Source organism: Homo sapiens, chromosome 22 (genome assembly GCF_000001405.40).
Source record: "Homo sapiens chromosome 22, GRCh38.p14 Primary Assembly".
Lineage (NCBI taxonomy): Eukaryota > Metazoa > Chordata > Mammalia > Primates > Hominidae > Homo > Homo sapiens.
Window position 1 is genome coordinate 32747889 of NC_000022.11, and position 14504 is coordinate 32762392.

The 14504-nt window shown below is 49.8% G+C and overlaps 1 protein-coding gene across 18 annotated transcripts in view, besides 2 other annotated features; it reads right to left on the minus strand.

Moving 5' to 3' along the window:
• The window catches only part of SYN3 (synapsin III), a 550562-nt gene that overhangs the window by 240069 nt on the left and 295989 nt on the right, over positions 1-14504 (minus strand). The gene's annotated exons all lie outside the window — the stretch shown is intronic.
• Positions 4422-5206: an enhancer, noted in NCBI's record as "H3K4me1 hESC enhancer chr22:33148296-33149080 (GRCh37/hg19 assembly coordinates)". NCBI's record gives its function as "activates a minimal SCP1, AML or CMV promoter by ChIP-STARR-seq in naive H9 embryonic stem cells {active_cell/tissue: H9 hESC(naive)}" and the evidence as "EXISTENCE:reporter gene assay evidence [ECO:0000049][PMID:30033119]".
• Positions 9689-9870: a silencer, noted in NCBI's record as "fragment chr22:33153563-33153744 (GRCh37/hg19 assembly coordinates)". NCBI's record gives its function as "represses an EF-1alpha promoter that drives an FKBP-Casp9 reporter gene in an ReSE screen in HepG2 liver carcinoma cells {active_cell/tissue: HepG2}" and the evidence as "EXISTENCE:reporter gene assay evidence [ECO:0000049][PMID:32094911]".

Genomic DNA, 14504 nt, shown 5'->3' on the forward strand with positions numbered 1-14504 from the left:
ACACTGGCCACTATCTGCAAAGCTGGAGCAGCATAAAACTAATGATCCCAAGGGTGAAGCAAACAGAAGCCTTGCTCTTGGCAGCCTGAGCTCATCACCAAGAGTCCACCAGCCTGGACATGGCCTCGTGTCCTGGCATTGTGGAGCAGTGAAAAGAGCTTGGTGTTGGGGTCAAACAAAGCCAGGTTCCAATCCAGCTCCGAACCTTAGACGCTGGATGACCTTGGGAAAGGTAGATAATCTCACCAAACCTCAGTTTTCCCACTTGTAACAAGGGCCTAATATGAGTCTCATAATATAAGAATGAACTAGAACAACCTACCTGAGGTATCTTAATGCAGTGGCCAACAGATAGTAGATACTTATAATTCTTCATTCAAGAGAGGGTGGCCCAGGAGAAAGAGCATGGGATTTGGGGTCAGACAGATCTGGTTTCAAATGCTGGTTCTGCCAGCTGTAAGTTGTATAACTTTGTACAGACAGCAACCTCTCTGAGCTTCAGGTTCCTCATCAATAAAACAAGGTTGACAACAACTGCCTTAGAGAAAATGGCAAAACCAAGAAAGGGTGTCGGGGGCAAGGGTGTGATCAGAGTTCAGTGAAGAGTATCTTACATCAACAGTAAAAAGTTGATCTTCCCCTCTTCCTTTTCTTGGAGTGGAGCATGGGAGAATTCATTCATTATTTCATGCATCCAGCCAAAATTTAGAAACATTATCTGCCATGTAGATAAATAATGATGTAACTTGGAAGGTGGTTAGACTGAGCTGTTTGCTAAGTGCCCTTGCCAATCTGGGGACAGCGCAGTTGTGGGGAGATGGACTCAGGTCTTATCCTCGACCAGAACGAAGGTAGCCCCTAGAAGGTAGAAGGCATGGGGCCAACTACGATGGAACATTAGAAGCCCCTGGTCTCTGCCCCAGGTATCCCCAGTAACACCTGTGGCCTCTGTCTCCCTCGGCCTTCCTGAGCCAACCCATGGCACGGTTCTGGCTTAGCTAGTGACTAAAACTCCATTCTGGTGATACTTTTGGGTTCTGTTTCCTGGGTTTCCCTCTGGGGCTTATTGAAACTCTGGGACATTTTGCCCCCGCTCCCAATTCCCTCTCTGTTAATAGCTGACCCTGCTTGGCTGTGTTAATCCACTTGGGTAGCTGTAACACATTACCAAAGACTGAGGCACTCATAAACACAGTTTCTCACACTTTTACAGGCTAGGAAGTCCAATATTAAGGTGTTGGCAAATTTGGTGTCCAGGGAGGGTCCACTTTTCGGTTCATAGACGACTGTCTGCTCACTGTGTCCTCGAATGCCAAAAGCATCAGGGGATCTTTCTGGGGTCTTTTTTACAAAGGCATTAATCCCATTCATGAGGGCTCTGCCTTCATGACCTAATCACCTCCCAAAGCCCCCCCCCCACCCCAAAATACACACACAAATCCATTACCTCAAAGGTTAAGTTTCAACATATAGCCGTGCTCAGTGGCTCACACCTGTAATCCCAGCACTTTGGGAGGCCAAGGCGGGTGAATCGTGAGGTCAGGAGTTCAAGACCAGCCTGGCCAAGATGGTGAAACCCCGTCTCTACTAAAAACTACAAAAATTAGCCGGGCACGATGATGGGTGCCTGTAATACAAACTACTCGGGAGGCTGAGGCAGGAGAATTGCTTGAACCTGGGTGGCAGGGGTTGCAGTGAGCCAAGATCGCACCACTGCACTCCAGCCTGGGTGACAGAATGAGACTTCATCTCAACAACAACAACAACAACAAAAATTCAACATATACATTTTGTAGGGGGGACACAAACATTCAGTCTACGGCATTAGTCTTCTCTGAAGATCCCTGCTTTGCAGTGCTGTTGGTCTAAACTCTAACCCAGCCCTCTCTGGCAATGATAAATATTCATTTGGTAGAGACTGAACTGTGGTTGGAAGGAAGAGTGAGGAGAATAGTTCCAGGTCAAACTTAGCATGCCAAGCTCCTCTGGATGGTAATGAGTCAGGGCTAGATAGGGGTCTGTTTGAATGAGAGTCTGATGCCTTCCCTAAGTGCAGTAGGAGTCAGTGCCTACTAGTAGAGTTCAAGGCCATGAGCCAGGATTGAAGGAGGGTAGACGTAGGGTCAATATCAAGAGTGGTATCTTTTACAAATTCATTCTGTAAGCACCTACTAAGTGCCAGGTCCTGTTCTAGGTGCTAGAGACACGGTGGTGAATAAGATCGATGTGGTTGGAGACAGGCAACAGACACATAAATACATCACTATATTGTATGTTAGCTGGGAGATGAGCTACAGAGAAAAATAAATCAAGAGAAGGGGACAGAGAACGCCATGGGTTAGAATGGGTTCAAGTTTCAACAGTGCAGCCAGGGAAGCCCTCTATGAGAAAGCAGTATCTGAGTAGAAATCTGAACTAGGTGTGGGACGGAATCATATGAACATCTGGGAGAAGATTGTTTCAGGGCAAGGGCAAGGGCAATGGCCTCGAACTTGGAGCACACCTGTTGTGTTCAGACGACAGCCAGGGCTTCATATCTATTAGAGCTCTTATTGCCTAAACCCCTTCTGCATCATGGGGATGAGGTCTGAGAAATAACGGTGGTGTACAGGTGGCAGCGGGTGTAGATCATGTAGCACCTTGTCAGACATGGCAATGACTTAGACTCTTTGTGGGATGGGGCCACTGGATGGGGTGGAGTGCTAGAAGGGTGACCTACACTTTGCAGTGTCATCCTGCTCTGCTGAGAATATACTGAAACAGGGCAAGGGCAGAAACCAGAAAGCCAGCTAGAAGGTGGCTGCATCGAAGGGTGAGAGATGGTTGGATTCTGGAGGGATCTGGACCTTGGGATTACAGGGTTTGTTAACGGATTTGATTGGGTGTGAGGGTGGGTGGTGAGAGAAGGGGCAAGCAAGGAAGACTCCAAGGTTTGGGGTCTAAGGCACAGTTGCCTAAGGTAACTTGGATGGGAAAGGCTGAGGAAGGCACAGGTTTTGGGGTGGGGAGAAGATCAGGAGTTCAGTTCTGGAACTGTGAGGGTGAAGGCCCATCAGACATCCAGGGGAGACACCTCATAGCAGTCTCTGATATGTGAATCTGGAGCTGCGGGTTTTCAAACCATGACACCAGGTTAGAGCAACAAAGGAATGAAGGTGTGTGTGCAGGCAGGGAGAAAAAGAGGACCAGGAGCCCTGAGCCCAGCCCCCAGCCCCCAGCCCCCAGCCGGTGTTGAAGCTGAAGGGTAACCCAGTGACGCCAGGAGGGACGCTGGTGAGTGTGTCATCCTGGAGCCAAAGTGGAGGGGGTGTTTCAAGGAGGAGCAATGGACCAGCTGTAGGTCAAATTAGGTAAGATGGAGCAGTGACCTTTAGAGGTCACTGACCTTAGCAGGCGCAATTGCAGTGCAGTGGTAAATGGCAGCAGGGCCACTCAGAAGTGGCCTCTGCTCTGGCCCTGAGAAGTTAACTCAGAATTCCAGGGGAAAGGCGAAAGTGCTTTTTAAAGAAGAGGGGTGGGGTAGGGAAACAAGGCATGCCCCTCCAATGTTCCCCTGGGATCTGGGGAGTCCAGGTGCGGGTGGTCATGGGAGAGATCGGGGGACAGCTCTCTTGGGCAAGGTGTGTCTCTGACTCAGCCATTGTCAGTCGCGTACAGGCCTCTGTGGGTGCCCGGCAGAACTGGCCTATAGGCAGTTTCTGGTGGTGACCTTGGCAGAGGGTGTTGACAGCAGTGGGATATCACCACCTTCAGTCAGAGTTGCAGAATCAGAACAGGAGGAATAATGCCACTTGTTTGCCAAGAGGACAAATTCTGGGAGACCTTGTGACAGGCCCTCTCAGAGCCGTTGAGGAAAGGCTTGCAGGGGCTAAAATGCTTAAACAGTGGAAGCAGAGCCAAAGAAATCTTGTTTTATGATGGCCATAGTGATGGTTTACACTCAGACTGGTGAGGCCAGAGCTAAAATAATAGGAAGCATTTAGTGAGCACTTACTATGTGTCAGCTGGGCACTCTCTAAGTGCTTTATGCATGTTCTGATGTTTTAAAGCATAAATGATCCTTCTCTGAGGAAAAACACTGCATACTACATATTCTCTAGGTTGTTCGTTTATTATCTGCCACTTCCTCATTAGATGATAACCTCTTGAGGGCAAGATTTGTTGATTGGTGCATCCCCAACTCCTAGAACAGTGCCTGAAATATAGTAGATGCTTAATAAATACTTGCTGAGTGAGTACATGACTACGAGTCCCCTAGGCATTGAACTTGATGAGCCCTCACTGTGAATCCTTACTGAGGGTAAAGCTGGGAACAGCAGCCATCCTTTATTAAGCACCAACTGTGTGCAAAGTGCTAAGCCTGTGCCCTCTAAATATAGGTCGATATCCTGCAACCACTGAGAGCTGTGTTTCTGGTCACTGACTCAGTTTAGAACATTCGTCTCCATCCTTCTCACCAAACATTTGCTCTCCTCACTACCAAAATCTTGCTCATTTATGAGCTGTCCTCCTCCACGGAGCCACCTCTGATAGAGCTGGCCTGCCTCTGGCCCCAGCCTCCCTTCAGCCCCCTCAGCACAAGGTTGTGGGTCTGAGCTGCGATTAAATTAAAATGACTCATTAAATCACAAAAACTATAATACAATGACTGCTTCTGCTACTCCTTCTACGACTCACCGCATTTGTTCTGAGCACTTGCCGCGTGCCGGGGCTCTGCTGTCCCTGTCCAGGCCTCATCTTGTTTCACCCTCCCACCACCCCAGAAGGGCATCCTATTTCTTTTATTTTGCAGACAAGCAAGCAGCCCCTGCTCTCGGCCAGTCACCTAACCTCCTTCTGGGGGTCCTGGCTCCTTGTCGATCTCTGATCGACAGGAGATCAGAGAGTTCCTGAAGCAGAGATGGTGGGGCAAGGCTGAAGTGCAGAGTGGTGAATGCCATGTTTTACCATGGGGAGCATGCATGGGGGGCCGGCTTCTCTGGCGGAAGTGTGTGGGAAGCAGAGAAATGGAGCGGGGGTGAGTGGAAGCCCCAGAATGCAGCAAAGGGAAAACCGAGCACTCTGGGGAACAGCTCCAGCCTCCCCCAGAACCACTGAAACCACCAGAAGGGTCAGGGGTTGGTCCCAAACAACATGGACTTCCTCCTGGCAGTGAGCCAGCTGGAGAACCTCAGCAGAGGCCAAGAAGAGCCCCTCGGGGCCCCTGAGGAAGATGTATATATGGGGGTTCCATCAGCAGCACTGCCCCTCTCCATCTCTGCCTGAGCTCTCCTTTCCCCCCAGAAAACCAAACAGTAGAGCCTGCTGGGGTCAAAGGGTCAGGTTGTATGAAAGGTCAAAGGTCACGGGTCCTGTGGGCCTGCAGATACAGATCCCATGACTCCAAGTCAGGCCGGTGGGAGCTCCTTCCTAGTCCCAGGGAACAACCCCAGGGGCCCACACTTGGCCACCTCCAGAAATTCCCAACTCCTGACTCAGGCTGTCTCTAGAGGGGCTGCAGCTGCCTCCAGAAGACCCTGACTGCCCCATGACGATGACGCATAGGGAGCTTCCTGGGGAACGGCTGGCTCCACCTCAGGAAGGGCCCAGGCCCAACAGACTCCCCAGCAGGGGCCTACACCCAGCCACCGCTGGGCTTCTTAGCCCACCAGAGACCTTCACTGGCTCCCCACGTTTCACAGGAAAAGTCCCTATTTCTGGCTTCCGAGGTTTCCACCACCCTTTCATTCTCGTCTATGGAATCTTTAAGAAGCCCCACACTCCAAAGGAATCTTTATTCTTGGGTGTTGATTTATCCCATACACTTAACGCCCATTGTGCCTTTCATCAATCCCTCCTTTGGCCAACACAGACCAAGGGGTCACCCCAGGCCAGGCCCTCCAGGCCTTGTCCTAACAGAAGCCAATGAGAGAGCCAGGGGGGTCACCCCAGGCCAGGCCCTCCAGGCCTTGTCCTAACAGAAGCCAATGAGAGAGCCAGGGGCCTGCTCTCACGGAGCTCACGTGCTTGTGTGGAATTCTCATCCCCATTTTCCATATGAGAAATTGAGGCTCTGAGAATACGTAGGCAGCACAGCAGTGGTCTGCACACAGGCTTGTCTGACTCCAGAACTCTTCTTTTAATCCCCATCCTTTCTCATAACCACTCGAAGTCCCCGGACCATGGTGGTGGTCCACACCTCTGGGCCTTTGGACGACTACTCCATTGACTTGGAATGTGCTCCTCATCTCTTCTCCAGCTGATTCCCTTTCCTCCCTCCCTCCCTTCCTTTTTTTCTTTTTGACACAGAGTCTCACTCTGTCGCCCAGGCCAGAGTGCAGTGGCGCGATCTTGGTTCACTGCAACCTCTGCCTCCCGGGTTCAAGCGATTCTCCTGTCTCAGCCTCTCAAGTAGCTGGGATTACAGGCACCTGCAACCACGCCTGGCTACTTTTTGTATTTTTAGTAGAGACGGGGTTTCACCATGTTTGCCAGGCTGGTCTCAAACTCCTGACCTCAGGTGATCTGCCCGCCTTGGCCTCCCAAAGTGCTCACATTACAGACATGAGCCACTGCACCTGGCCTCTTTCTTTTAAAAAAAAGGACTTTGCACTTTGGTCATCCTCCCAGTACTGGACTACTGAACACTGCCCAAGCAACCAGACCATCCTCTCCTGCTGCCGCAGACCTGATATGTGAAGAGTTGGTCCTGAGCAAGGCAAACAAAGTTCTGCAGAATCTCGCCTTGTCTTAGCTCCTCCACCCGGCTCCCCCTTCCCCTCACTCTGATCTGCACTGTAAATTCCAGCAAGTCCTCAGACGTTCCCTGAGCATACCATACAGTCCTACACCTTGATGCCTTTGCTCCTTCGGCACTTGCTGAAAGGGAAGGTGAGCGTCTCCATGTAACATTGGCCAAACCCTTGTCCAAAGTCTCCAGATTGAGAAATCACTTTCCTGTGCTTTTCCTGGTGGGTGGAGCCTTGTTCAGGGCCAGAGAGGCCTCCAGAAATTCTCCCTATCTTAGTCACTCTTCTCTCCATGGGCCCCACAGCTGGCCCAGAGAAGGAGGTGGAAACTCCCTGGATAGGAAGGGACTTCTAACCTCTGCTCCCCCTGCAAGGACAATGTGAGACTCAGCACAACTCCAAGTCCTTCCCTCCCAAGTCTGGCACTGGGACTGAGGGACTAGAGAGCAGAGCAGAGGCGCAGAGGCTGGGAACTGGTCTGGGGAAGGTTGGAGGAAGGAAACTAACATCGAACATTTACTGAGAACTATGGAGTTCCAGCACTTTTTGCAAAGGTCATCTTGTTAAATCCCATCACCCCAATGAGGTAGGACTATGATAATTCCCATTTTATCTGGGCTAAAACGAAGGCTCAGAGAAATGAAATTACTGGTTCAAGATGGCATCTCCAGGTTCAAAACAGTGAATGCTCTTGTCACTTTCACCCGCTGCCTTCAGACCCACCACACTGACTGTTCCAGAGGGGAAAGCAATCTTGAGAGCCCTTGAAAGCTAATCCTTGAAGCATTCAAACGTTACATGGCAAGATCACCTAATTCTGGTCCAAGGGGCTCCCATGATGATGGAGAAACAAAGACCAGAGAAGTTTTGCCTGGTTCCAACATCTGGAGGTGGCAGAACCATGATTCCAACTCAGATCTTTTGACTCCGAGCTCAGCGTTCTTTCCATTAGTTTATCTACTCTAAAGACAAAGAGCTTTCTTGCCCAGGAAATCATGCCCCAAGCCTACTGCAAATCCCATAAGCAGAGCTTCCACTCTTCTGTCCTCCAAGGATGGAGGAGGAAGAACACTTTGTCATTCTGTTGTGGGCAACCTTCATCTACCATGGTGGCCCCAGCCCCAACTTCTCACACACCAATGCCCTTCTATGACAAATACCACTTAATGCCCCTTGTACTATGTTGAAACAAAATTCATAGTGAACCTACGTACACAATTTTTTTTAAAAAAGTTAAAACGTGGCCCATATGCACCATGGAATACTATACAGCCATAAAAAAGAATGAGTCCACGTCCTTTACAGGGACATGGATGAAGCTGGAAACCATCATTCTCAGCAAACTAACACAGGAACAGAAAAACAAACGCCGCATGTTTTTACTCGTAAGTGGGAGTTGAACAATGAGAATGCATGGACACAGGGAGAGGAACATCACACACCGGGGCCTGTGGGGGTTGGGGGGCTTGGGGAGGGATAGCATTAGGAGAAATACCTAATGTAGATGACAGGTTGATGGGTGCAGCAAACCACCATGGCACGTGTATACCTGTGTAACAAACCTGCACATTCTGCACATGTATCCCAGAACTTAAAGTTCAATTAAAAAAAAAAAGTTAACTGGAGTCCCCTAACTGTAACATAAAGCAAAAATCAAACAGAAATAATTTATAGAGGCATAGCATTAGGAGATATACCTAATGTTAAATGACGAGTTAATGGGTGCAGCACACCAACATGGCACATGTATACACATGTAACAAACCTGCACGTTGTGCACATGTACTCTAAAACTTAAAGTATAATAAAAAATAATAATTTATAATGAAAATGGACAGTCTGATGCTTGCACCTATGCATAGAATTGCCATGCATTTTACAACTATACATGCCGACTGATATAGTTTGGATGTCCCCTCCAAATCTCACGTTGAGATGTAATCCCAGTGTTAGAGGTGAGGCCTGGTTGAAGGGGTTTGGGTCATGGGAGTGGATCCCTCATGGTTTGGTGCTGTCCTCAGTATAGTAAGTGAATTCTCTCTCGTGAGATCTGGTTGTTCAAAAGTGTGTGGCACCTCCCCTGACTCCTAGCCACCTCTCTCACCATGTGACTTTGCCTTCCACCATGAGTAGAAGCTCCCTGAAGCCCTCACCAGAAACTGAGCAGGTGTCGGGGCCAGTCCTGTACAACCTGCAGAACCATGAGCCAGTCAATCTCTTTTCTTGGTAAATTATCCAGTTTTGGGTATTTCTTTATAGCAATGAAAGAAAAGCCTAACACACCAACTGAAATGTTTCATTAACAACTCAAATGCCAGAAGTAGGATTGCCATTGTCATCAGTGACTTGATTTTTTGAAATGATTAACAACTGTCGGAAATGTTTCAAATAAAGCAAAGTATAATTGTCCCTTAATTGACACAGTGGTTGCACTTTTTTTTGAGGGGGGGTGGTTTGGAGGAAAAGCAAATATTGAAAGTGCTTCCTGCCACTCATCATCACCCCTAGTGATCCACTAGCATGATTTTTGCTTTTGCTTCCTGTTCTCACACCATTACATTCTGCTGGCATATAGGTCTTAGTTCCAGAGGGAGGAACACTGCCACCAGGAGACACAACAATGATTCTATTAAACTGGAGTTAAGATTGCCATCTGGACACTTTGGGCTCCTCCTACCTTTTTTTTTTTTTTTTTTTTGAGGTGGAGTTTTGCTCTTCTTGCCCAGGCTGGAGTGCAATGGCGCAATCTCGGCTCACCACAATTTCCGCCTCCTGGGTTCAAGCGATTCTCCTGCCTCAGCATCCTGAGTGGCTGGGATTACAGCGGTGCGCCACCACGCCCAGCTAATTTTGTATTTTTAGCAGAGACGGGGTTTTTCCATGTTGGTCAGGCTGGTCTCTAACTCCTGACCTCAGGTGATCCGCCAGCCTTGGCCTCCCAAAGTGCTGGGATTACAGGCGTGAACCACCGTGCCCGGCCTGGGCTCCTCCTACCTTTAAGTCCACAAGCTAAGAAGGGAGTTACAGTGGTGGCTGGGTTGATCGACCCCGACTATCAAGATGAAATCAGTCTACTACTCCATAAAGGAGGCAAGGAAGAGTATGTGTGGAATACAGGAGATCCATTAGGACATCTCTTAGTATTACCATGCCCTGTGATTAAGGTCAATGGGAAACTACAACAGCCCAATCCAGGCAGGACTACAAGTGACCCAGACCCCCTCAGGAATGAAGGTTTGGGTCACTCCACCAGGAAAAAAACCACGACCTGCTGAGATGCTTGCTGAAGGCAAAGGGAATACAAAATGCGTAGTAAAAGAAGGCAATATCAATACCAGCTATGACCATGTGACCAGCTGCAGAAACGAGGACTGTAACTGTCATGAGTATTTCCTCCTTCTTTGGTTAAAAAACATGTTTGTGCATTTATACACTTGTACTAAGAAAATATTTTCATTTTATTTCCTTTTCCTTTATCATGCCACATAAGATTTATTGACTTCATATCAGCATTTAAATATTGTTAACTTTATGTAATAGTATTTAGGTTGGGGATTGGTTTGTTTCCGGTTGTACCAAGGATAGTTGTATTATGTTAGGCATAATTATGACCTTATTATTGTCTTTATTTGAAGATTATGTATGATCTGAGGAGATGTGTATGGGTTCAAGTTAACAAGGGGTGGACTTGTGATGGTTAATACTAAGTGTCAACTTGATTGAAGGATGCAAAATATTGATCCTGCGTGTGTCTGTGAGGGTGTTGCCAAAGGAGATTAACATTTGAGTCACTGGGCTGGGGAAGACAGACCCACCCTTAATCTGGTGGGCACAATCTAATCATCTGCCAGTGAATATAAAGCAGGCAGAAAAATGTGAAAAGACAAGACTGGCCTAGCCTCCCAGCCTACATCTTTCTCCCGTGCTGGATGCTTCCTGCCCTCAAACGTCGGACTCTAAGTTCTTCAGTTTTGAGCCTCAGACTGGCTCTCCTTGCTCCTCAAGCTTGCAGACAGCCCCTATTGTGGGACCTTGTGATTGTGTAAGTTAATACTTACTAAACTCATATATATATATATATATATGTCTTATTAGTTCTGTCCCTCTTGGGAACCCTGACTAACACACTGCCTAAATACTTTGTGTTTGAATTTAATATGGAATTAGGTTCTAGGCTCAGATAATTATAAATGACTTTTCACCTATATGGTGTCTGGTAGGACCAAATCCAACAGTCCTGTGGGTAGCAGGACAGCTGTTGGCTGTGCAGAGTATCCTGTATGCATTCCCAGTCCCCCTGACTATCTGCCCATAGTGCCCATTGCTTGTGATGATAACCAAAAGTCTTCCCACAAGTTTCCAAACTGCATTTCAAGGGAGGGTCCTGTCCCCATGGAGGACCATTAACCACATCATTAAGATTTACTCATAAGATTATATCCCAACCTCTCAATATCTCTCTAAGTTCTTTAAGCCCTGTATTCAGTTGTGGTCGCCAGATGGAAGAGACAGAAGCAAGAGGAGGTGGAAGGAGCCCCAGAATTAGACAGGGAATCCAGCTTGCCTTTCCACTGCTGCATTCCCAGGCCTAGCCAGCACACATGAGGTGTTCAACAAATATTCATGACATGAAATTATTAGCCGTGTAGGCTTGGGGAAATTATTTAATCTTCCGGAACTGTCAATTCCCTCTTGGTAAATGGATGGTCACACCATGGGGCTCTTGAAAGGACCAAATATGAGAAAGCCCAGGATATGTACAAGGGGCTCAACGACTATTAGTTGACCATGAAAATCGTGGTCCTGCTACCATCAGGCTGGGATGAAATTCTCAATCATGGCACAGCTAACAGAAGAGTGTTTTCAAATCAGCCTGTGACTAGACTACTTGACATTTTGGAATGTAATTTCTTCCAACCTTGAGATCTGGCAGTTCTGAGACCCTTGTCTTGACAGAGCTGGTGGTGAGGAGAAATGTCCCCATCCACCCTCGACCTGCCTGATTCCTACATTCCTACCACCCCCAGCACTCACCCACCCCCAGCCAGCACCCACGGCACCCCCAGCCAGCACCCACGCACCACCAGCCAGCACCCACCCACCATCAGCCAGCACCCACCCACCCCCAGCCAGCACCCACCCAGCCCCAGTCAGCACCCACGGCACCCCCAGCCAGCACCCACGCACCACCAGCCAGCACCCACCCACCATCAGCCAGCACCCACCCACCACCAGCCAGTACCCACCCACCCCCAGCCAGCACCCACCAACCAGCAGCCAGTACCCACCCACCAGCAGCCAGTACCCACGCACCCGCAGCCAGCACCCACCCACCAGCAGCCAGCACCCACCCACCCCCAGCCAGTACCCACCCACCCCCAGCCAGCACCCACCCACCAGCAGCCAGTACCCACCCACCCCCAGCCAGCACCCACCCACCAGCAGCCAGTACCCACCCACCACCAGCCAGCACCCACGTGCCCCCAGCCAGCGCCCACCCACCAGCAGCCAGCACCCATGCATCCGCAGCCAGCACCCACTCACCCCCCAGCCAGCACCCACGTACCCCCCAGCCAGCACCCACCCGCCCCCAGCCAACAGCCACGCACCAACAGCCAGCACCCATGCAGGCCTGCGGCCCTTCCTTGATTGAGTCTAAAGGAAGGTCTCCCTCCATTCTGCTCCTGCCCTGCCCTTCGGTTGAAGGAGAGGAGAAGCAAACAATTACTGAGCACCTCCTGCATGCTTGGAGCTTTATTCTTCCCCAAGTTATGCTGCTAAATCTCGTTCTCGAAGTGGGATGAAGGGGAGTGACATCCCACACATGAGGAAACGGGGCTCAGAGATGGTAAGTAATGTCATGTGCCCAGGGTCTCAGAGTGGGCATGAGGTGGACATTCCTTTTGGAGTGGTCTTCCCTTCCACCACAGTCAGGGGAGGTTGACAGAAGGCACATGCAGGGCCCCCCGTGGGCAGAGCTCACATCACACCAGCCTCCCACCGTCTACCCTAGCCCACACCCACAGTGCCCAGGCTTCTGAAATTCACCAGGCTCTGAGGGTGGGGCTCCTCTGTCCTTCCCCACTGGTTCAGAGGGGCGGTGTAAAGACAGACAGGGAGAGAAGATGAGGAAAATGTCAGCAGGCCTCAAATGCCAGGGGTACTGGGAGTGAGTTGGAACCAGAGCAATGGATAGATTTTTAGCAGGACCAAAGAGAAACTTTGAGTATATTTGAGAGTGAGATGCTTTAGAAGACTATGATGGGCCAGGACACTTCACACTGCCCAGGCAGCTGGTCCAGGGTCAAGGAAACACTGGCGTCATAGATATTGTAAGGGGTTCCTGTCTTACAATGTTCCTCTCAACCTCCCATTTCCAGTCTGTTCCCTCTAGCAGGGGGAGCTCCCGGGGTACACGGTGTCCCAGCCAGCTCTTCAATCTAGAGGACAGCAGCTGCTGCCAGCCTCTGAGGGCTGGGAGGTGGAGAGTTGAAGCCCACTGGGTCATCTGCTGGTCAAATGCTGCAGGGGGCAATGCATCTTCAGTTCTAGTGTTAACCTTGCTGCAAAGGTGCTGTGTGACCCAGTGCCGGTTACTGTTGCTTTCCTGGCCTCAGTTTCCATATTGCCAAGTTGAGGGGATTGGACTAGTTGATTACCAAAAGCTCTCTTTCCTTTGGTTTTTATGAGGAGCAGGAGCCCAGGGAAGAAATGGGACATGAGAGAGAGGCAAGGGGTGGCCGATAGAAGCCATGCGCGTGAGTCACGAGAAGGGGTGTGAGATCCCAAAAGGAAGCTGAGCAAATTTGCAGAATGTCAACACCCCAGGGCAGGTCACTCCTAGCCCTTCACTGACCCTGGAAGGGAGTGGGGGGACAACAGCAAGGTCAGGCTTCCCAGAGGCCATGGGATTTAGCCAGCTTGCTCCTGAGGGCTGGCAGCCCAGTTTTGAGCACCTCTTGAAGGCAGTGGGGCAGGTGCTTCTGGTGGGGGTGCCTCTGAAACCCCAGAATGCAGTATAGTCCCAGAGAGGTCAGGTCCTGCAGATTTCTTTGGTGATAACAGCTGCTTTGTTTTGCGGGGAGGCCACAAAATTCCTTTTAAAGCAAGATTTCCTTCCTCCATTTATTTATTTACTTTTCACCCAGTGATTCAGCGAAACAACCTCAAAACCAGTCTCCAATGGGAGGCAGGAAGAACCAAACCCTCAAACATTAGTGTCTCTGTGAGGTTTTGCCTGGTGGAATTTTCCTTAAAATAACTGCACCCGGAGATTGTCGGATACGGGATGGGGAAGGGGAAGACCTGAAAACGGGGTCCTGCGGGGCTTGTGAATGACTCAGATGCTGGAGTGAGGAGTCTCAGGAGTCTGCCCTGAGTGCCACCTGTCCTTAGCGAGGGCTTGGGTGGGTGATGGCATCGGTTTTCTCATTTCACAGACTCCAGAGGGTGCCATCTTCCTGAAGACAGAACGAGCCAGTAGTTTGAACCCTAAGTGCAAGAGAAGGGACTCAAGGCAGCACGTTTATAGCAGTGGGGTAGGATTTTAGCGCCATCTTGCTCCCTGTCCATACATCCTTCCTCAGGGTTAAAGCAGTGGGCTGGGACTGGCATCCTCTTGCTCCTGTCCATGCGTCCTTCCCCAGGGTTATAGCAGTGGGCTGGGACTGGCACCCTCTTCTCCCCGTCCATACATCCTTCCTCAGGGTTATAGCGGTGGGCTGGGACTGGCACCCTCTTGCTCCCTGTCCATACGTCTTTCCCCTAATTCCTAAT